Source organism: Homo sapiens, chromosome 3, assembly GCF_000001405.40.
Source record: "Homo sapiens chromosome 3, GRCh38.p14 Primary Assembly".
In the NCBI taxonomy this organism is placed as follows: domain Eukaryota; kingdom Metazoa; phylum Chordata; class Mammalia; order Primates; family Hominidae; genus Homo; species Homo sapiens.
In genome coordinates this window covers 45,675,513-45,698,491 of record NC_000003.12, presented here as the reverse complement: position 1 = coordinate 45,698,491, position 22,979 = coordinate 45,675,513, and the positions used below count along the sequence as shown (strand labels likewise).

At 43.8% G+C, this 22,979-nt stretch overlaps 2 protein-coding genes, 1 long non-coding RNA gene and 1 other non-coding gene across 9 annotated transcripts in view, besides 5 other annotated features; 2 read left to right on the top strand and 2 right to left on the bottom strand.

Moving 5' to 3' along the window:
• SACM1L (SAC1 like phosphatidylinositide phosphatase) overlaps positions 1-9,096 on the bottom strand; it is a 56,014-nt gene extending 46,918 nt beyond the window's left edge. For 4 of the 6 annotated variants that reach the window (XR_007095650.1, NM_014016.5, NM_001319071.2 and 1 more), the window contains exon 1: positions 8,995-9,096. Coding sequence is in view for 2 of the 6 variants with exons in the window: in NM_014016.5 (NP_054735.3) it covers positions 8,995-9,026 (32 nt within the window). In the remaining 4 variants the exon portion in view is untranslated. Of the gene's footprint in view, positions 1-8,104; positions 8,145-8,994 lie in introns of all 6 variants that reach the window. The other 2 variants (NM_001319073.2, NM_001437893.1) reach the window with 1 other exon arrangement.
• Positions 4,208-4,347: an enhancer, noted in NCBI's record as "active region_19785". NCBI's record gives its function as "activates an Ori minimal core promoter by ATAC-STARR-seq in GM12878 lymphoblastoid cells {active_cell/tissue: GM12878}" and the evidence as "EXISTENCE:reporter gene assay evidence [ECO:0000049][PMID:35858748]".
• Positions 8,905-9,084: a silencer, noted in NCBI's record as "silent region_14286". NCBI's record gives its function as "represses an Ori minimal core promoter by ATAC-STARR-seq in GM12878 lymphoblastoid cells {active_cell/tissue: GM12878}" and the evidence as "EXISTENCE:reporter gene assay evidence [ECO:0000049][PMID:35858748]".
• Positions 9,115-9,404: an enhancer, noted in NCBI's record as "active region_19784". NCBI's record gives its function as "activates an Ori minimal core promoter by ATAC-STARR-seq in GM12878 lymphoblastoid cells {active_cell/tissue: GM12878}" and the evidence as "EXISTENCE:reporter gene assay evidence [ECO:0000049][PMID:35858748]".
• On the top strand, positions 9,421-9,493 carry TRR-ACG2-1 (tRNA-Arg (anticodon ACG) 2-1). The gene has a single exon. It is a non-coding gene; the product is annotated as a tRNA-Arg (tRNA).
• LIMD1-AS1 (LIMD1 antisense RNA 1) lies at positions 9,610-20,327 on the top strand. The gene is made up of 3 exons (NR_033947.1): positions 9,610-10,116; positions 18,421-19,446; positions 19,561-20,327. It is a non-coding gene; the product is annotated as an LIMD1 antisense RNA 1 (long non-coding RNA).
• Positions 9,665-9,714: an enhancer, noted in NCBI's record as "active region_19783". NCBI's record gives its function as "activates an Ori minimal core promoter by ATAC-STARR-seq in GM12878 lymphoblastoid cells {active_cell/tissue: GM12878}" and the evidence as "EXISTENCE:reporter gene assay evidence [ECO:0000049][PMID:35858748]".
• Positions 10,225-10,294: an enhancer, noted in NCBI's record as "active region_19782". NCBI's record gives its function as "activates an Ori minimal core promoter by ATAC-STARR-seq in GM12878 lymphoblastoid cells {active_cell/tissue: GM12878}" and the evidence as "EXISTENCE:reporter gene assay evidence [ECO:0000049][PMID:35858748]".
• LIMD1 (LIM domain containing 1) overlaps positions 12,151-22,979 on the bottom strand; it is a 91,591-nt gene continuing 80,762 nt past the window's right edge. Inside the window, exon 8 of the mRNA NM_014240.3 lies at positions 12,151-21,570. Within this exon, the coding sequence (NP_055055.1) occupies positions 21,433-21,570 (138 nt within the window). The 3' untranslated portion in view covers positions 12,151-21,432. The remainder of the gene's footprint in view (positions 21,571-22,979) is intronic.

Sequence of the window (22,979 nt, the reverse complement as noted above, 5' to 3'; positions counted from 1 at the left end):
CCTGAGGCCTTTGCTTGATCTTCTCTCTCTGAGAGATGCTGTTGGAATCTAAATTGCTGATGCTGCCATCAGGCTATTCTGATAATGTCACTGAAAGTGGTATCTCTAGGCTTAAGAATTGGAGCAATGAAAATGTGAACAGTGACTGCCAGGGAATCAACATTTCTAGGGATGCTCATTAGAAGTAATGACTCACAATTCTGTTAACCATAACAGCAGGTATCATCCTAACTCACGGCACCTACATATATGCCCTTACTGTTCTCTTCCTCTCATTTCCCACCACTTTTGTATTGGTCTTAATACTGATCTGAAGCATAATTGTTTTATGTAATAAATTTTATTCTATGTTTTATGCTTCCTGGGCTTCATTTCAAAAGCCAGTGAAATTAACTTTAACTCTCTAGCATTTAAACCGTCAAAAACAATTAAGTAAACATTCAGTGGTATAATTTTTCCTGGTGTGTATTGTTTTATTGCTATTTTTGTGTTTAAATCTTTACCAAACAAGCTATCATATTACTTATTTTATGAAATGGATTTCGGAAGACAAGATTCGATCCAAGAAGATTATTTGGTCATTATCTATACTGTTGATAACAGATCTCTAAGGTTCAAAGTAATACTGTATACTAAAAAGGGTTCTGGTCCTATATAAACTATCTGGTGAGGTGATTAGCCTCCAATTCACTATTAACTCTAACTGAACAAGAATCCTACCAAATATCTGTCAAGACAAGGGGATCCCATACCTACCCAGAGTTCTGGTTCCCATTAATAAGACACATACTATGGAAGATATATCAAAATAGCATAATACTTGTATAATAATTGCTCCTATTTTGACTACCTTCATTCAGTTCGTCATTTTGCTTTTAAGGATTACTGTCCAAGCATGGCATAAAAAAGAAAAAGTGGTTGGATACAGTGCTCATGCCTGTAATCCTAGCACTTTGGGAGGCTGAGGCAGGAGGACTGCTTGAGCCCAGGAGTTTGAGACCAGCCTGGGCAACATGGCAAAACCCCGTTTCTACAAAAAATGCAAAAATTAGCCAGGTGTGGTGGTATGCACCTGTGGCCTCAGCTATTCAGGAGGCTGAGGTCGGAGGATCACTTCAACCTGGGAGGCAGAGGCTGCTCTGAGCCAAGATCGCACCACTACACTCCAGCCTGGGCAACAGAGCAAGAGCCTGTCTTAAAAAAAAAAAAAAAAAAAAAAAAAGGAAAAGAAAAGAAAAACAAAGCAGGAGGATCTTGAGGCCAGGAGTTTGAGACCAGCCTGGTCAACACAGCGAGATCTCATCTCTACAAAAAATGTTGAAATAAAAAAAAAAGAAAGAATCAACACTTAGGTTGCTTCCTCCTTTTTGACTGTTGTGAATAATGCTGCTATGAACAGGGGTATACAAATCCCTCTTTGAGACCTTACTTTTAATTATTTTGAGTATCCCAGAAGTGGAACTGGGACTAAAAGCTAAATGCAACAAAGGCAGTTCTGGTATTACACTTAATACAAATGCATTTAATCTTATAGTCACCTGGGATTCAACAGCTCTTAAGAGTGTTTTTTAAAAAATTAGTCTTGTTAAATTTTAAGAAAAGCAATATCTTTAATTATAATATTAACATCAAATATTTTTATTTTCTTTCAGTGTTGGCATTGCGATTTTCTAGTGTCTGAAAACATTTATCTCTCATGTAACATTCACGTCTTATTTCAGACAACTGATCTCTTTAAAATCCTGTCAAATCAATGAGTAAAACTGGCCCACTACAAAAACATTACTACTTACCAACCTCATACCCATTAAAATGGCTATTATCTAGAAGGAAAAAAAAAACAAACCCAGGATAGAAAATAACGAGTGTTGGCTAGGATGCGGAGACACTGGAATCCTGGTGCTTTGTGGGTGGGAATGTAAAACGGTGCAGCCACTATGGGAAAACAGTATGGTGGCCCATTAAAAATTAAAAATAGAATTCCCATATGACCCAACAATTCCACTTCCGGGTATATACTCAAAATAACTGAAAGTAGGGTTTCAAAAAGGTATTTGTATACTCACATTCATACTGGCATTACTCACAATAGCCAAAAAGGTGGAAGCCACCTATGTGTCTATTAACAAATGAACAAACGAAATGTGGTACATACATATAATGGAATATTATTCAGCCTTAGAAAGGAAATTCTGGGCCAGGCACAGTGGCTCAGGCCTGGAATCCCAACACTCAGGGAGGACGAGGCAGGCGGATCACGAGGTCAGGAGATGGAGACCATCCTGGCAAATGCAGTGAAACCTTGTCTCTACTAAAAATACAAAACAGTAGCTGGGCGTGGTGGCAGGCACCTGAAATCCCAGCTACTTAGGAGGCTAAGGCAGGAGAATTGCTTGAACCCAGGAGGCAGAGGTTGCAGTGGGCCGAGATCGCACCACTGTACTCCAGCATAGGCAACAGAGCGAGACTCCATCTCAAAAAAAAAAAAAAAAAAGGAAATTCTGACACATGCTACACAATGGATGAACCTTAAGGACATTATGCTAAGTGAAATAAACCAGTCATAAAAGGACAAATACTGCCACTTCATGAGGCATCTAGAGAAGTCAAATTTATAGAGACAGAAAGTAGAACGGTGGTTGCCAGGGGCTGGGAGGATACAGAAATGGGGAGTTGTTTAATGGGTACAGAGTTTATTTTTGCAAGATGAAAACGGTTCTGGTGATGGATGGTGATAACGGTTGTACAACATGAATGTGCTTATTGCCCCTGAACTGTATACTTAAAAATGGTTGAGATGGTAAATTTAATGTTTTATTTTACCACAATTTTTAAAAATAATGAAACCACTATTTTGCATAGGAGCCACAGTGATATGTCATAAAACTGTAGCAAGAACATATTCCCTCAAAAATCTTACGTAAAGAATTTGGCTGGGTGCAGTGGCTCATGCCTGTAATCCCAACACTTTGGGAGGCCGAGGCAGGTGGATCACTTGAGGTCAGGAGATCAAGACCAGCCTGGCCAACATGGTGAAACTCTGTCTCTACTAACAATACAAAAATTAGCCGGGCCTGGTGGTGCATGCCTGTAGTCCCAGCTACAAGGGAGGCTGAGGCACAAGAATCACTTGAACCTGGGAGGTGGTGGTTGTGGTGAGCCGAGACTGCGCCACTGCACTCCAGCCTGGGCAACAGAGTGAGACCCCATCTCAAAAAAAAAAAAGAATTAAATCAAGGTCTTAATGATCAAATTTAATACATCTCTGGTTGAAAAGACAGAGGCACAACACTTTACTAGGTTTGGTGAGCAAAAAGAAAACAACTTAGTAAAGAAGGATCCCCTGCACATACTACACTCATAGGCAGAAGGTGCTCCTACCTCCCCCATTCATCCTCCCTTTGGGTATCTCCTCACTGAGCCCTCCCTGGTTGCCTCTCCTATAGCTCAAGTTCATCACAGACTCCCCAGGGGCACAACCCAATTCCAAACCAGTTGGTGTTTCTAGAAAGACTCATTCTAATGCTATCCTCTTTCTCAAAACTCTGTGTTCCCACCTATATCCTATTCCCTGAATGCCCTAAAACCCATTCTCTCAACCAGACTTCTTCACAGGACTAGGTCCAAATTCCACCTAATCTGAAGCTCTAATCCACAGCACAATCTACCAGAGCCCCATATCTTCCAAAGAATTCTCTTCTACCAGCATGTTCTGGTCCTAACTCAGCTATGTATGCCCAGCCCTAAAATATTTCAGAGTGCATAAAAACTACCAGGATAGCTAGTTAAACTTGCAGATTTCCACCGCTCATCCCCAGAGATTTTCACTCAGTAGGCCTAATGTGGGGCCCTGGAATACGCACTTAAAACAAGCATACCAAGTCATTTGATGTAGCCTAGCACTAACCTAGGCTAGCCACGTGAGCCTAGGTAAGCCTGAACTAGCCTGAACTCCCAGCCAACTAATGCTTTGGATACAAACCCCATATTGTCTGTGCTAAAACTCATGAGAATAATCTGAGCTGCCCTACACCCTTCCCTCCACCGGGAGACTTCTGTGAATAATATGAATGTTCATTATATTGAACAGATTATATGTGTCTGTATCACAAGGTAGCTTAGGTTACATCTGTTTTCAAGGTTGGATCATATCTGCCCTGACTGATGACCTCACAGTTATGAGACTCTTTTAAAAATGGCAATTTCCTGAGGAAACAGTACTCTTCAGAGGCATGCTGCAGCCTGATGCAGTAACTAAAGGATTCCCTGCCTTACACCTAGTTTCAACTGACCTTTTAAAAGAAAAAGAAAAAAAAAGAAGAAAAAATGCTTTAAATGTATCCAATAATTTTGCACCTCTAACTTTCCACTGAACCTTTTAGAAAGTTATTATGAGCTTGAGGTCTGAGGGGCCTAAGAAGTGCCCAAACCACATTTGATGTCATTTCCCTGCAAAGGAAATGTGACACCTACGCCGAACTGCCAAGGTATTTTAGCTTATATACAGGGATAGATAAGCTTCTTAAAAATTACATTTCCAGTCTAATTATTTTGCAATTTCAAATTTATCACTGTCTGACATTATCCATGCCTATACAAATGGCTTAAAAAGAAAAATGGAGCCTAACAGGATATTTAGAACTGCCTGGAAGTTTAAAAAGTATGAATTTTAAATTCTGAGCAAATCAATATTCTGTTTTCCACATTAAACATATGGAAATTAATATGGACATGTCAACTATATTTGGTTGTAAGTGACTCATTTCAATACCTGGCATGTCTGAGGACTAATGCGAGAGCAATCTGGTAAGAGAAAAAAAGGTCATATGGATAATGCAATGAAATGGAAAGATCACTGGACTCTGGACCAGCCGTATTCCAAGGCTAGCTCTACCATGGCTTGGCTGTATGATCTGACTTTGTGGCCAAGGGCAATTATGAGACTGTTTTCAACAATGACAGGATACCTATCAACCTATGACCTCACAGAGACACTGGGAAGACAATATACATGAAATGACTTTTAAGCTGTGTTTCTTCAAAACGATACATTCCAAATTACCCTAGACTGTGTTCTTTTTGCAGTGCTAGTACGTGGTCTATACTGGAAAGTTCCTTTCATTTACTCAGTTGATTCACTGAGGAGCTGCTCTGCACAAGGCTCTATGTTAGGTACTGAGGAGGACTAGAGAAGAAAATGTTAAGGTGTAAACTGGTTGGAGAAACAAAGTACAGCCATGTGCCATGTAACAATGCTTTGGTCAACGACAGACTACACATATGATGGTGGTCCTATAAGCTTATAATACCGTATATTTACTGTACCTTTTCTTGTTTATGTATGTATACATACACAAATCTTTACCATTGTGTTGCAACTGCCTACAGTATTCAGTACAGTAACCTGCTGTACAGGTTTGTAGCCTAGGAACAACTGGCTATTCCATATAGCCTAGGTGTGTAGTAGGCTGTACCATCTAGGTTTGTGTAATTATACTCTGATGTTTGTACAAAGAAGTTGCCTAACATATTTCTAACATATTTCTCAGAATGTATCTCTGTCAGTAAGAGTCACATAACGGTGTACATAATGATTTCATTTCTAAGTGACAAAATGAGTGGTTCAAACAGTACTATGGATTGACCATTCTAGCTTTCCATCCTCTTGTCCATGAGAAAGTAAATGCACTGTAAACTGATCCTAAGAGACAGAATACATAAATCATGTAAACATTTGGTGTCTAACCCTGTTACAATAATTTTTCATTTTTGGCTTTAAAAACTGTTACCAGAACTCAGTGAAGGAAAAGACATGGAAAGAAAACATTTCTCAAAGAAGGTACCTATGAGGTACACTAAGTACTTCATCTAAACTCTCTTTGGGCCAGGCATGGTGGCTCATGCCAGTAATTCCAGCACTTTGGGAGGCCAGGGTGCATGGATCACTTAAGACGAGGAGTTCAAGTTTCAGCAACATGGCGAAACTGAAAAACAGAAAAAATCAGCCAGACATGGTGATGTGCACCTGTAGTCCCAGATGCTTTGGGGGCTGAGGTGAGAGGATCACTTGAGCCTGGGAGGCTGAGGCTGCAGTGAGCTGAGCTCACACCACTGCACTCCAGCCTGGGTGACAAGTGAGACCCTGTCTCACAAAAATAATAAAAAAAAAAAAAAACTCTCTTTCAAACCTTACAATAATCCTGTGAAGTATCAACATTCCCATTTTACAGACTGAAACACCAATTCAGAAGGATTAAGTACTATGCCCAGGACACAAAACAAGTAGTCAAGTTAAGATATGAATCCATATCCATTCTGACTAACAAAACCTGAGATCTCTTGGCTCTACCATGGATGTGACCAGTATGTAAAGAGAACAGAGAGGAAGAAGGCATTCTGGGTAGAAGGATCAAAATAACACCCAAGTTTGAAGCTAGAAGGGGATGAGCCAAGTTTTGCAGAAGTGGGGAAAAGGCTCTGGGCAGTTACGGGAAATAAATTAGGCGACAGATTATAAAAAGGCTAGAATATACAGATGGCTAAGAAATGCAAGTTTGATCCTATAGGTCAGTAAGATGGAACTGGAAATTGTAAGCAGGAAAGTAGAGGATAAAACCAGAGCATTAGAAAGGTGAAATTCAACAAGGCAGAGATGGGCTGGAGAAAAAGCATGGCATAATGCAGACAGAATTATTATTTAAAATCCGAAGTAGGACAGGTGTGGTGGTGTGCATCTGTAGTCCTAGCTCCTCGAGAGGCTGAGGTGGGAGGCTCGCTTGAGACTAGGAGTTAGAGGCTGCAGTGAGCTATGATCAAACCACTGTACTCCAGCCTGGGCAACAGAATGAGACCCCATCTCTTTAAAGACAAAACGAAACAAAAGAAAAAAAAAACAAGCATTTCAACATTTAAATAAATCCTTTTAGCAATCCTTTTGTAATAAAATAATCGAACTATCTCTTTTGCATGGATATTTCTTAAAACACATCTCCAGACACATTTTAAAAAATGGCTACTATCTCCTACCAATTCTTACACAGAAACCAATTTCACTTCTAAATGCATCCAAAAAAGAATACTCCTTAGGGCAGGAGCCACATTTGAAAACCTTCAACAGCAGCCTCAGAGCAGGAAGGGCCAAAAGGAAGGAATAAAAATGGAAACTCTAACTCATAAACCCCTTGGTAAAGAAAAAGGTGCAAAAAAGTTGTACCTTCACATTTACAGAAACACTCTAAACTTTTTTTTCAGGGGGAAAAAAAGCTAGGACTGACAAATGAGAGAATGACTTTCACATAACCCCAGTTTGACTTTATCACCCAAATAATTTAAGAGTTTCCACTTCTCACAAAAATCAATACAAAAACATCATTCTTACTACTTCAGGGACAAATTTCCTTTCTCTTTTATGTATGCGAGGATTTGGGTTTGTTTTAAGGTCTGAACTGGTTAAATTTAGTGTTCTGGCAGCTGAAAAACAATCATCATAATTCTCAAGTTCTCCATCCTATTCAATCTTTGCCACGCTAAGCTGCATGAAGCCATGGCTCCATATGGCTTAAACACATTTGAGACCTGGTGTAGGATCACATTAAACCCTTCAGTGCCTATCAGATACACAATAACCTAATTAGCTAGCAGAGCACATGTGACAGTGGCCTGGCCAGAAACGCAGTGGAAGACACTTCCTTCAACTCTTTCACCAAAGACGAGGTGAGCACTTTGCAAAGGGGAACTGGGAGAAAATAGGGAAAGGTGGAGAGGAAAATGTGGAGGGAAGTGTGCAGCTAGGGTTTTCAAAGAACATTACAGTAAACAGAAATGGCACCCACAGGGGGTGCACTGTAGAAAAAGCAATCATCTTTTTTGCAACACATACAATGTGGAATAGATGACCTCTCTGAATTTTGCACCTCTAACTTTCCACTGAACCTTTCAGAAAGTTACTAGTGAGGTTGAGGTCTGAGGAGCTTAAGTGCCCAAACCACATTTTGGTGTCATTTCCCTGCAAAAGAAATGCGGTATCTATGCCTAACTGCCAAGGTATTTTAGCTCATATACAGGGATAGATAAGCTTCTAAAAAATTACATTTGTTTCTCCTACCAGATATTCCCAGGCTGTGGCCACCAGATTTTCAAACAGCCTAGGGGTAAAGCATTAAACACGAAGTGAGTACAACAAAATTATTCACAGACAAGAAAAGTGTGGATGCTAATGGGTAACACTAAGGGAAATAAACACATGTTGTTTTTAATCCAAGACAAACCAAAACCCTTAAAAACACCTATTTTATAACTCTTAACAACCACAGCCTCTGTATCAAAGACTCAAGAACTTGGATTTACCGAAAAGTCAATTTGCAGTACCAAAATTACCGAGATTAGCCTCTGGCTGTCGACACTGACTTAAGAACCTGCTTTAGGCTGGAGCTGTTTAAAATTTAAACCAAAGTAAACTCCTTCAGGACCTTAAGACTACTGACTGTACTTTAAATTTTTTCTGCACACTGAAGAGGGGGCAGGCAGGCTTCGGTACCCAGATAGGCTGTAAGCAAAACAAAGATTTGTTGATTTGTGCGTAGACTCTAAATTGCTGCTGTAGGTCCGTTAAGTAAGAGAAAACTCTTTTTCTCTGTTAAGTCATACAGATAAATTTAGTCGGTAGCTCTGCATAGAAAGTGGGGACAAGCGTGCCCTGAAGGGCCGCATCATAACGCCGACCCCGGCTCGGTGGGGGCCAGTCGGCAGCTTCTCTCTTCAGCCGTGGGCGCTGGGGCCGAGCACGGTGGAGAAAGGCCGGCGAGCCGCTGGTTCCCGGCCTATGGCTACTCGGGCGAGGCCTAGGAGAGGCCGCGCCGGCTGAGGAAAACCGGTAAATGCGAGGAGCTCCCACACCCTATCTGCAATCCGGGACTCAGAAGCCCTCCCCGAGGCCAGGGCCCGCACCTGCCGCCCCGCCCGCCGCGCCTCAGGCCTCTGGCCCGTGGGACTCACAGCTTCAGCTGCTCGTAGGCCGCCGTCGCCATCCTGCACAACCACCTCCTTCCTTCTCTCTCCGCCCGCCCCGCCCCGCGCCGCCACCTCGGCTACAACTCTACCGGTCACCCTGGCACAGCGGCCGCAGCTCCCAGCCTCTTCCCACCCCTTTCCCCGCCCCGCAGGAGAGCCGGCCTGAACGGGAGGCGGTGGAGGACAAATTAGTGCGCAAGCAAGAGCACGCGAGAGATGCCGCCGACGCGGCGGGTTGGAGTGCGACGAAGAGCGCCGTGACGAAGCCGCTGCGGATTGGTGGGGCGCGTTTTGGGGAAAGGCAGAGCAGCGGGAGCGCGGCGCAAGGGCAAAATGGATCGTTGGTACCCGGAAGCCCGTTCAAACTGTATAAGGGTGATCAGCTATCACGGAGAAGGCTTTAGCAAGTCGGGGCCAGTGGCGCAATGGATAACGCGTCTGACTACGGATCAGAAGATTCTAGGTTCGACTCCTGGCTGGCTCGCGATGTCTGTTTTGCCACACTTGACCCATGTACTACTGGGTCTTGTAAAGATGTATATTCACAATGTGAAAGTATTACAAGACCTTGGAAAGGTGTATGGTTAGAATGTGAAAGTTAAATATCTGAAATTTTGATGCCGCTTTGCTCACAATGTCATCCTTTATCCTTTAAACCTGGAGTTGTCTGAGGTGGTTTGCAAACTGCAAAGCGCCCTGTTCCCAATGATGCACCTGAGAAGTCTGTAAATGGGGTAAATTTAGGCAAACACACCTGGAAAAGTGGCATTTTGGAGTGGGGAATGCTGTGGCCGGAGGTTAGCAACCGGATGATGCAAAAGCGTATTTAAGGCAGCAGTTCTGGCCTTTCCCCGCCACGGAGCAGAAGCCCCCATAGTGATGTGAGAAGCGGCGCTGTCCCAGTTTACTAGGATGGGATGGGCTTTGGATCTAACCAGCAGCGAAGAAAACCTGCGGTGCGGCTGCGCTCGGTAGTAGGGGTCCACAAAGCGTCAGAATCTGCAGCAGCCCCGGCCTTTGCGAGCTCCAGCTCCGAAGTCAACCCGGCCCCCAAATTCCACTGGGAAACCTTAAGACACCGGTGTTTTTACCGTAAGAAGACCTCAGGTAATCTAGTATATTACCCCTCATTGTATGGATGCGCGACTTGGACACCCGAGAAGGCGCGAAACGTCTGCGGCCTAAAGGGACTCGAACCGGGGGATTATATGAGTCATCGGACACTGTCCGTTAACCAATCACTCAATCGATCAATTAATTTCCGCAACATAACGTTTTCCCCTGATAAAATTATAGATTTTTAAAATATATAAAATTATTGGGAATATTAACGCGATTCCCACCCTAAATCATTACTATTATTTTTTTTTTCCTTAAAGCCTTTTTTTCTTCTATATTTTTTAACATGGGCATACTTGCACATGTGTTTTTCCAAATTGGGGTTGTACGGAAATGGGTTCCTCATTTTGTCTCCTTACCTTTTTGTCTGAGATTTAAGGTCATTAAATATTCTTTGAAGATATTTCATCAGAGAGCTAGATATTTTAAGCAGAATCCTTATGCTGGGAATTTGGGTGGTTGTCAGTTTAACACCTAGAAAAAATGATGCTGCTTAGGAGTTCGAGACCAGCCTGGGCAACATAGCAAGACCTCATCTCTATTTACTAAATAAATAAATAAATTTTAATTAGCCAGGTGTGGTGGTGTGCACCTATAGTCCTAGCTACTCAGGAGGCTGAGGTGGGAGGATCACCTCAGCCCAGGAGGTTGAGGCTGCAGTGAGCTGTTACCATGCCACTGCACTCCAGCCTGAGCAACAGAATGAGACCCTGTGTTGAATTATTATTATTTTGAGACGGAGTCTCGCTCTGTCACCCAGGCTGGAGTGCAGTGGCGTGATCTCGGCTTACTGCAGTCTCTGCCTCCCGGGTTCAAGCAATTCTCCTGCTTCAGCCTCCCAAGTAACTGGGACTACAGGTGTGTGCCACCACGCCCGACTAATTTTTTGTATTTTTTAGTAGAGACGGGGTTTCACCGTGTTAGCAAGGATGGTCTTGATCTACTGATCTCGTGATCCGCCCACCTCAGCCTCCCAAAGTGCTGGGGTTAGATGTGAGCCACTGTGCCCGGCCGAATTATTTGTCTTACAAATTTCTAGAGGTGGAACGACCAGGTGGACATCTGTAAGGTCCATTTTATGGACATTTTTAAGACTTTTGTTACTTTCTGACTGCCCTCCAAAAAATTAAACCAAAACACACTTCCATCAACAGCACCTGTTTCTCTGTTTTCGTGCATGCTAACCAACACTGGCTATTATAAATTTAACCGTGATTTGCAATTTTCATAATTGGAATATGGAACTTCCTTTTACATGTACTTTATATATTTTCTCTTGATGTATTGAATTTTTTCTTACAAATTTGATTTTTTAATATATTAAGGGTATTAACTCTTAAATACGTTGCAATCTTTTTTCCAGCTTATGATTTACCTTTTCAAAATTTTTTTAACGGCTGGGCACGGTGGCTCATGCCTGTAATCCCAGTGCTTTGGGAGGCCAAGGCAGGTGGATCTCTTGAGGTCAGGAGTTCGAGACCCGCCTGGCCAACATGGTGAAACCCTCTCTCTATTTAAAAATACAAAAATTAGCAAGGCATGGTGGTGTGTGCCTGTAGTCCCAGCCACTCAGGAGGCTGAGGCAGGAGAATTGCTTGAACCTGGGAGGTGGAGGCTGCAGTTGGCTGAGATCACGTCACTGCACTCCAGCCTGGGTGACACAGTGAAACTCTGTCTCAAAAAAAAAAAAAAAAAAAAAATATATATATATATATATATATATATATTTGAACTTGTAGTAATTTTCACTTTATATATTCACACTTACTAATATTTGGTTTCTTCTATTATATGATTTTTTAATGTTTTGTTCTTATGTTGTTTTTACCATTTACTTTAATCCATTTGTCATTTATTTTGTTGCCATTTATCATGATGTAAAGATCAATTAATCTTAAAACCTGACACACTTTATTGAGCAATTACTTCATGCCAGAAACTGCTCTAATTCCCTTACTTGGATGAATTCAATCATTCCTTACAACAATTGTTGTACCTGAGCGAGTTAGAAAAACGCCACACTTTAAGACGAATTAAGAGTCCTTTATTAGCCAGCGACCGAGAGACGGCTAACACTCAAAATTTTCTCAGCCCTGAGGAAAGGGCTAGATTTTCTTTTATACTTTGGTTTAGAAAGGGGAGGGGGGGGTCTAGTTAAAACAATTTTACAGAAATAAAGTAGGCAAAAAGTTAAAAGGATAAATGGTTACAGGAAAGTAAACAGTTCCAGGTGCAGGGGCTTTAAGACTATTACAAGGTGATAGACCCGGGGCTTTGGGCGTTATCAATCAGACGAATTCCTGGGAATTGCGGATATAGCTTGCCACAGTATCTTATCAGTTAATTGCATTCTTGGATGTGCTGGGAGTCAGCTTGCACAAGTTAAGTCCTTGAGGAAGGGGTGCCAGTGAAAGAGCCAAGATGGAGTCTGTCTGGCTGTCTTAGCTAAGGGAGAGTCAATTCAGGTGGAAACAAGGCTAGGTGATTAAAGGAAGAGGGAGAGTCTAAAAACAGGGTTAGTAAAAACAAGGTTGGGCATTACACAATCCCATGAGGTAAATTCAGTTGTTATCCCCATTTTTACAGATGAGGGAACTAAATTGGCTTAAGGTCATGGAGCAATTGAGTTATGAAGCCTGAGATAGAATGTGAGTCTGGGCTCTTGACTCCAAGGCCGTCCTGCCCTGTGGACTCACTGTACCCCAGAAGACACCGCATGAGTAGGTTCAAGGACAATTCCCTGTCTGGGCATGGACGGCAGTCACATCTGCCACTTACCCCTCACCCCTACTAATTAGCAACAAGAAGACCCCATTTCTAGTCCTTATGATGCTTTTACCCACTATCTCTGGGCTCTTGGACATTTCCTCTCCTTTAATAAAATAGGGGTTTAAGTTGCAGCCTGTCTCATAGGCTTTAGGGGGAAAAGAAATGCTTCCATATGAGCAACTGCCACCCATTGTCATGTAGAAGGAACTAAGAGAGGCAAAGTTTGACGTTTCTTTACCAGTTGGGAACCATAAACCAAGGCCTTTGTGACATTCAGTGAGACTGAAAACCAGAAAATAATCTGGCAGAAACCCCATTCTTCTGGGGTTTTTAAAGGCCAAACAAGCCAAAATCAGATTCCAAGGAAACCAATGTTCAGGATAAGGAACCAGCCAATGATGGGTAATATAAATTCATATCTGTAGCCAAGTTTTTCCTATAGTAAAATTGTTATATAACTTTTTACAAAATCTGCCAGAGGCCTTCCAATGGAGACAGTCCAAGCTGCAGATGAAGCTTGTTGGCACATCCAAATAATCTCTACAACCTACTTTTAGGGCCAGCTCCCACTTACAGACCTTTTAATATAGTAGTTAAAAAAAATTTAGGCAGATAGGGTACAGGAGTCCTTGGTAAGGCTTTTCTTTTAATAAAAAGCAGCCCCCAAAACCATTTCTTTTCCAACAGAAAGCAGCCTGAAAAGTCAAGCTGCAAGCATAAATAAGCAAGCTAGAAGCTTGCACAGATAAATGCCGGCAGCTGCACCTGGAAGACAGGTGCATCCAATATGGAAGATTTCGCCTCCCTTCTGTTTGTTGCCATGTGTGCAGGTGTCAAGGCTCTGGCCAAGTAAAAAACCCTATCTGCATAATAAAAGATCAAGGTGGAATGGCCAGTTTCTTCGAGGGCTATGTAAATGGCACACCTGGTCAAACCAATCCCTTGGGCTCTATGTAAATCAAATACCACCTCTTCAAACCCCCTCCTCTATATATCAGTCTGCTTCCCGCCAGGAATGGGGAGATCCATTCGGAGTCCTCCTCCCTCTGCATGGGGGAGCTGTTCTCTTTTTTCTGCCTGTTAAACTTTCTGCTCCTTAACCCACCCACGTGTGTCCGTGTTGTTAATCTTCTTGGCACGAAACAACAAACCTCAGGTATTTCCCCAAACAACGGAGCCGATTCACTTTGATCTATTTGTATGTCATGGAGTCTGGCTTCCTGCCGAGTTTTCAAATTGGGTGTCCCCTCACTTTCACTCCGTCACAGGCTTGCCGTGGACCAAGTCTCATGGGCAACACAGGGCCCAGAACCACCTGTCCTTGAGAGCTAGGATTAGTTGGAGGGACATGTATGTGACCAAGTGGTGGCAGTCCCTGAGGCTGCCTTACACACCTGGACGTATCCACATAGCCAGAGATTCTCCTAGAAGTGTCACACATCTAGGGCTGTCGCCTACCTGGGAACTTCTAACCAGATCTCTCTGACCATAACCCACAGAGTATGACCTACTCTGTTTTTTTACACCTAGAGTACAAGGTCTCAATCATGTTTGTGTAGGAAGCATTTCTGTTTTCAATCCAGGGAAAATTGCAAACCCCCACTTTCAGGGATTCCTGAAGAAAAGGCACCCAATAACTTAGGAATATTCTTTCATTTCCTCTCAAAAAACGTTCGTTGGAGTCTGTGGTAGGCTGACTAATGCTCCTCCTGTTACCGGTGGAGGGTGTCCAGGTTCTTGGCGTCTTGATAAAGAAATGGACAAAACGCACAAAGCAAGTAAAGAATGAAGCAACAAAAGAGATTTATTGAAAAACGAAAGTACGCTCCACAGGGTGGGAGCAGCCCAAGCAGCTCAAGAACCCGGTTACAGAATTTTCTGGGATTTAAATACCCTCTAGAGGTTTCCCATTGGTTACTTGGTGTACACCCTATGTAAATGAAGCAGAGGTCCATGATCAGTTTGATTGGTTGTGGGAGGGGACCAATCAGAGGCTGAAGCAAAGTTACAAAGTTACACCACCCTATACAAACATCTGACTGGTTGTGTAAAACGCCCAATCAGAGGCTGAAGTTACAAAGTTATACTCCTAGGCAAATGAAGACTTGGCCTAAGACCAGTCTGATTGGTTGTGGGAGGGGATCAATTAGCGATACTTTCAATTTTTCACCTGCCATGCAGAAAAGGGGCTGGGGGTGGGGAGGTTGCAAAGGGAGTAGCCTCTGGTCCTTTTGTTACTTGAGCGTGGAAAGTTGGGGTTTTCCTTTTGACTTAGTTCTAGGAAGTCAGCCTGAATTGGCCTTAGGAAGCCAATTCCATGCCTCCAGACCCTATCTCCTGCTTCCCTCCCCTTCAGAGATGTCCCTGTCCTCCTCACCAGAACCTGTGAATATCTTATTCTGCAAGGTAAAAGAGGCTTTGCAGATGTTATTAAGAATCACAAAATGGGAGATTATTCTAGATTATCTGGATGGGCGTAATCCCAAGTGTCCTTACAAGGAGGCAGGGAGGGTCAGAGAGGAGGTGTGACAATAGAAGCAGCCAGAATGATGCAGCCACAAGCCAAGGAAAATGGGCAGCCTCTAGAAGCGGAAAAGGGGCAAGGAATGGGCAGCACCCTATAGCACCTCTGGAAGCAATTCGCTTCTGCCGACAACCTTTGGCTCGTGTCCAGGATGACAGAATGATATATTTGTGTTGTTTTAAGCCACTGAGGTTGTGGTAATTTGTTAAGAGTGGCCATAGGAAACCAATACAGACTTCAACAGAGCAGCAGTGAGCTTCTCCTCACAGCCTCCTGTGGCTTTTTGACTATGTAGCTTTGATGAAGAAGTATACTGATGGACAATTTACTGCCTCCCATCAACCAGAGTAGTAGAGTGGTCAAGACAGCACCCTCTGGATGAGATGGCCTGGGATGGAGTACTTACTGTTTATTTCACCCTTTTGTGTCTCAGTTGTCTTGTCTATCAAATGAGGGATGATAAAGAACATACAGTCCTTGGAATAACATCTGCTATGTGATGAGCACACGGGAAATGCCAGCTATTACAGCTGCTACTGCTTCATCACAGCACTTAGAACCAGACCAGATACCCCACTGCCCAGTCCCACATGGCCCAATGCCCAAGGCTGACTCTTAGGACTATGCCATCTCCTCCCAATCCCTGGTGCCAGGATGCCTTGCTGGTAGCTGGAAAGTGGCCATGGCGGGAATATTTACATCATAGGTATCAGCAAACACTCCATATCAAGGCTTTTTAATTTTTTGCCCCAGAGGGCTGGTTTGCCAGCACACCACAACTCCAGACCGCCTTTTACCCTGATTGCATCTTCACTCCTTATACCATCAAGGTCTTAAGCAAATAGCAGCCCATGTTGGCAAAATCAGACTAGCCATTCTCTCATCACTTAAAAAGAAAAAAAAAACTTTTATTCTGGTGTAAGGTGCTATGACTATGAGTATCCTCACTCCCAGCTTTCCCGTGTCCTTGGCACGTCAGACCTGGTAGCCACAAGGACTACACTGGAGTCTAGAACAAACTCTTTCCCCACCCCAAGGATTCTAACCACACACTTGGCCCCAACACTCTACAAGTCCTGTCTTCCTGCATGTGGCTGTCTCAAACCTGAAGGATCACTCGCCTTGAGGATTCTTTGGTCATAACCTCAGAAGAGAAAAAACAGTAACATTCACAAGAGAGACAAAGTGACCTTACAAGTCACTGCATCAGGACCTTACAAGTCTCAATCTTAAAGGTCCAGTAAAAGAAACTGCTGATTCTTGGGATATGATTCTCCAAGGCCTCTCACATTTTTATACATCTGGTAAGAATAGACACCAATTGCCAGGTTCCAGACTTATATTTTCAAGGATGTTTATCTAGTGAACAGTCTTGGATGACAGAGATAGTGTCTGTCTCTGGAGCAAAAGTCAGGCAGGCTTACTGCCCATTATCAAATACCAGGGTCCCCTAAGCATGGGGGTTCCTCTTGTAATGCAGCCCACTGCGTGTGCAGGTCTCACCTGGCCCTCTTCTTGGGGCCTGGGGCTCAGGGAACCAGTGTAAATGCTGATAATCTGGCCACTGCTATTGCTATAATAAACTGTCCTTTGTCTCTGACCTATGAGTCTCATAACTTCTGCCAGGATCCATGAACCCATGTGGTGTGCTCACTTTATTAGCCTGCAAGTAGGGTAAAATCTCATACCCTTCACAGGTTTGCTACCTATGTGGTACTTTTAAGAATCCAGAGCTGTAAAAGAAGACAAAGTCCAGGTAGCAAAAAACAGTTTGCTGACTCCACACACAGAAAAGACCCAGGAAATATAATGTTCAAGGAGCACTTTAATAGTCAACAAATTGATGCAGTTTTGTCACAATACTTTGCATAATTTTATAGTAACAGTAAAATTCTGAATCACTTTATAGTAAAAGAAAAGACACAGAGGAAAATAATTTCCCTGTACAATGAAATTTTCATACACTATATGAAGATTTCCCACATCTGTCAAGTTTTGGCTCAGAATAAAAGATAGCTAATATATTTCACTCTTTTTTCTGTTACTTTTTTTTTTTTTTTTGAGACAGTGTTTCGCTCTGTTGCCCAGGTCGGAGTGCAATGGCACCATCTCGGCTCACTGCAACCTCTGCCTCCCAGGTTCAAGCGATTCTCCTGCCTCAACCTCTCAGGTAGCTGGGATTACAGGCGTGCGCCACCAAACCCAGCTAATTTTGTATTTTTAGTAGAGACAGTGTTTCACCATGTTGGTCAGGCTGGTCTCTAACTCCTGACCTTAAGTGATCCACCCGCCTCAGCCTCTCAAAGTGCTGGGATTACAGGCGTGAGCCACGGCGCCTGGGATTACAGGCATGAGCCACTGTGCCTGGCCTTTTCTATTACCTTTAAAAGTTACTTCACATAGTAAAGAAATTAGGACTGATTCTTGGCATAAAGGAGGGTACAAAAAAAAATTGTGCCAGGTACAGTGGCTAATGGCCATAATCCCAACACTTTGGGAGGCGGAAGTGGGCAGATCACTTGAGCCCAGGAGTTCCAGACCATCCTGGGCAACATGGTGAAACTCGTCTCTATTAAAAATACAAAAATTAGCCAGGCGTAGCCAGTCATACACGCCTGTGGTCCCGGCTACTCGGGAGGCTGAGGTGGGAGGATCACTTGAGCCCAGTAGGTGGAGGCTGCAGTGAGCTGAGATCGCGCCACTGCACTCCAGCCTGGGCAACAGAGTGAGGCCCTGTCTCAAAAAAAAAAAGAAAAGAAAAGAAAATTTGGTTTCCTGGCAGATAGAGTTTTAACAAGCGCATCAAGCAGTAATAATTTGTGGTCTTGTGCTCAATTCTCACACATGATCTTTGCAAGCGTCCCAGCAGCCATCACAGCTCTACTTTCACATGCATGGGACACAGCACAGAGCAGCAGCCTTGAAAGGACTGCAAAGAGGTGTGAATTCCAAACATTCTCTTAAGTCCTAACATTTCTGTTCTTCATTTTGTGTGACAGAAGCCCATGGAAACAAGGCGATGACGGCGCTTGAGGGTGACCAGACCTCCTCAATCATTCCATCAGCCACCCAGGACTCAACAGCAGAACCTCAGAGGACTCAGCTGAAAGAGGTTTTCACTCGAGCACTAACCACAGAGAAATGGGAAGTGCCATCCTGCTGTCATACGCAGCCGATGGCTGGGTAGGACTAAATGCCCTTCTGTGGTGAGATGAACCAAGACGGCAGATGGGGGAATAACATCAGTGAGAGAGAGATTACGAATGGATCCTTGTATTGCAGATCAAACTGGGTTGTCTCTTCTCAAACCACCCAGGCAGTTTCTGAATGTCCCAAGATAGGGGTAGGAGAAAAGAAAAAAAAGACAAAACAGGAGACGGTGGGTAAGAAAACCTAAAAGGCACAATGAGGCAAAGGCCTAAGATGGAGGCTGGCTTTGGGATCTGAAATCCGGCCACAATCCTCCTTGTTTTACCTCAAGTCCAAGAATTGTCAAAAAGAAAACCCAGAAGGGCTATTCATTCTAAATTTTAAAATCTTTTCTTCCTGGCCTACCAAGTCCTTGTGTTTTCTTTCTAGGCGCCCATAAATACAACCCCATTACAGTTCTATTTGGCTAATAATTTACAGAACATTTAAAATACCGGGTAGGTGAACATCTCTTCATGGCTTTTGTGTAAGGGCCTGAAGCGAAGAGAAAAACAACTGATTGGAGATTCCTATCTGGCGCCTTCTCCAGGGAAACTGACAACCAGAGAAATCTGTTGCTAGGATTTCTAGGACATCTGGAAATTCCCTTTTTGTTCTTTCTCAACAATATAAAATGGTATATTCGCAAACCTATCTGAATCACCTCAATCTAGGCCACTTTGAAAATTTCATTTAAAAATGTAATCACAGATTTTTAAACTAATTACCCAATTTGCAAACAAATCCCAGCTACTTCTGGTCTTGAACATGGAGCAAAGGTGTGTCAGTAAGGCCAACATTCTTAGGTTGACAGAGACAGGTTAACACATTGGCTGGCTTCATTTACCCCCCTGCCACGCCCCACACTGAGCTGGATGATTTGATGGGAAGAGAGGGTCCCCACCTCAGGGTTCACTTCCCCAGCCCCAGCGTTCATGGGTTTTCAGGAGGCTCAGCCTGTGAAAAAGAACCAATGATGATGCACACCCTGGCTGAAGTGACATCTGGCCAAAGGATTCCAACAGAATGAATTCCATCAACATGGAAAAGATAATCCATGGCACCAATTCTGTGCTGCTTACAGGCAATGGTTACCAAATGAGTCAAAACATGGCCTAGAAGTGGAGCCGGGCCCAATGAAAAGCCTGAGTTCACACGTGCTAGGGGCTCCACTGACCGGCCTCTGCAGCCCAGCACCCAGTCCTCTTGCTCTGGGTGCAAGGTGAGGAGGCAGAGTGCACACACCGGCTCCTGTGTCCCCGGCCTGGCTGGCAATGGTAAAATGGGCTGCCTTTCTTTTGCAGCTTCTTCTAATCGAAATACCAAAGGGTACTGACCTCTGGCCTCAGGGATGTGACTTGCAGTGCAAATTTTACCTCTTCAGTGCAGAGAGTGGTCTTGAAATCTTGCCAGTGTGTGGCCCTCCCTCAGCTCCTGCCACCCTGGGGAGCCAGGATGCTGAAATGCATAAGGCAAAAGCACTGAATCGGATCTATTCCCCACTGACCTTTAGTTACGATCACTCTGCCCTGACCAGCTGGAGTTGGGCCTGTGTGAAGCCAGTGATTTCCAACACACTGAAGAAGGTATCTGAGTCCAGTGTGAAAGCCAAATTCCTCCTGAATCTGTGATTTGGTGAAGCTCTGTGAGGTATTTTTTGTGTGTGGAAGACTGAAAGTGAAGGGAAACAACTAAAAAAATTAAACAGACAAAAGCAGTGTACCTTATCCTGGTTTCTTCAAACATAATGCCTGTGCCAAGAATTGGGCAGGAGAGAAACCAACGAAATGAATATAATAACTTATCCTGAGGCGCTCCCTCCCACGCTGGCTTAGAGATCTCGCACACACAAAAACTCTCCTTGTTTATAAGAAGCTGTCTCTCAGTATGCGGGCAGCTCTTCCCAAAAGCCCGTCATTAAATAAGCTAAAAACAGGTGCAAGCGATGTACCTGCATGGGTTCCTGAGACTTGCCTTGCAGAAGCGGCCTTCCAAGTCACCAACTCTTGAGAACTCCAGAGAAAAACAGCGCAAACACGTGGGCAAAAAAAAAAATCCTGGTGCCTGCACCAAGTTCTTCTCCCAAAGTATGTTTTACTCACATAGGGCAAATTTCTGTCGCGGACTCAGCTGCCTTTAGGAGAGTAAGGATTTGAAGGGGTACAGAGAATGCTGTCAGTGTCTAAGGAGGAAACCCTGCCTCACCTATTTCAAATCTTGACTCTGGTTTTCTAAGCAAATTTATCTTAGGATACAAAGCACACATTAGAGCTTCCTTCTTGCCTTAATGCAATTAAATTTGCAGCCATTCTGCAGAAGAACTGAAGCTCTCAGGTGAAAAGAAGCCTTAAATCATGCCATGATATATGTCGGGGGAGGGAACATTTGGGTATAGGTATTTTCCTGAAGGAAGAGAAAGGGTTGAATGTATTGGCAGCTGAGCTGTCCCTTCAAGGGGATATTGTGAAACAAGCTCAATAAAAACCTCTCCCTCTGAAGCATGAAATGTTCCCAGAGGGGACAGGAGGATTCCTTTGGTGCTATGATGCAACCTCAGGTCATGTGCTCGCACATGCTGGAGCATTTTCCTGAGTAACCTGAGGAAAATGTGGCAACAGAGAAAAGCACTTGGAAAATACACGCAGGAGGCAGGTAGTGTTCACCTCCCTGGTTAAAGGAAAGGCACCCCCCACATGCTCACAGGAACTCTCCCTCCTGCCCCTCCTCTTCCCCTACCCCACTTCCACCCCAGGGGCCACCGGAAGCAGCAGCAGCAACCCCGGCTCCTCATCCCCTGCCGTGATGTCTGCAAGTGGCTCTGGCTAGAAGTGGTGCTGGTGAAGGGCTGTAGATGAGGGTCTCTTCTCCAGCCTCTTCACGTGGCAGGAGTGACAGAACAGGTGGTCCTCCAGCGGATAACAGCGGTGGCCATCTTCATCATTGAGCTCCAGACCACAGTCCTGTGGGGAGGCAGACATGTCCAGGGGAAGCAAAACAAAACAGACTGCAAGACTGACCTGAAGGCCACAGTCCCCAAAATCAGCAGAGGGTGCTGTGTGTTTCTGTATAGGCAGGAAATGCCAGTGCAGAAACACAGCTCCTGCCCCGTGGAGGCCTGTCCAACACAGGAGACACTGCCACAAGGCACTTGCTGTGAACCACTTAAAATGTGCTGTCAGTGTAAATGCAGATTCCGAAGACTTAGGACAAAAAGAGGATGTAAAAATATCTCATGGGAAAAAGGAATGAGATCATGTCCTTTGCAGGGACATGGATGAAGCTGGAAGCCATCATTCTCAGCAAACTAACAAAGGAACAGAAAACTAAACACCACATGTTCTCACTCATAAGTGGGAGTTGAACAATGAGAACACATGGACACAGGGAGGGGAACAACACACACCAGGGCCTGTTGGGAGGTGGGGGTGAGGGGAGGGAACTTAGAGGATGGGACAATAGGTGCAGCAAACCACCCTGGCACACGTACAACATATATCTATGTAATAAATCTTCACACGTATCCCTTTTTTTTTTTTAGAAGAAATAAAATAAATTGTGGAGTTACAAAAAAAATCTCATGGGTAACTTTTTTATATTGATTACATGTTCAAAAGATAACATTTGGATTTTTTTTTCTTTTTTGAGACAGTCTCCCTCTGTTTTCTAGGCTGGAGTGCAGTGGTGCGATCTCAGCTCACTGCAACATCCACCTCCCCCGTTCAAGGAATTCTCCTGTCTCAGCCTCCCAAGTAGCTGGGATTATGCACGCGCCAACACATCTGGCTAATTTTTGTATTTTTAGTAGAGACAGGGTTTCACCATGTTGGCCAGGCTGGTCTTGAACTCCTGACCTCAAGTGATCTGCCCTCCCAAAGTGCTGGGATTACAGGCATGAGCCACCACGCCCAGCAGGATTTTTTACTTTTTTAAGACAGGGTCTTGCTGTGTCACCCAGAGTAGAGTGCAGTGACACGATCCTAGCTTCCTAAGTAGCTGAGACTATAGGCACAGCATGCCTGGCTAATTTTTGTATTTTTAGTAGAGACAGGGTCTCACTGTGTTGTCCATGCTGTTCTCAAACTCCTGGGCTCATGTGATCCCCCTGCCTCGGCCTTCCAAAGTGCTAAGATTACAGGCATGGGCCCATGCCTGGCTGGATATTTTGAACCGAATAAAATAATTAATCTCACCGGTTTCTTTTAACGTTTTAATTGTGACTACCAGAAAACTTAAAATGATACATGACTTTAATTTGTGGCTCTCATAATTCTTTAACGTTTTAATTGTGACTACCAGAAAACTTAAAATGATACATGACTTTAATTTGTGGCTCTCATAGTTCTTTCTTTTTTTGAGACGGAGTCTTGCT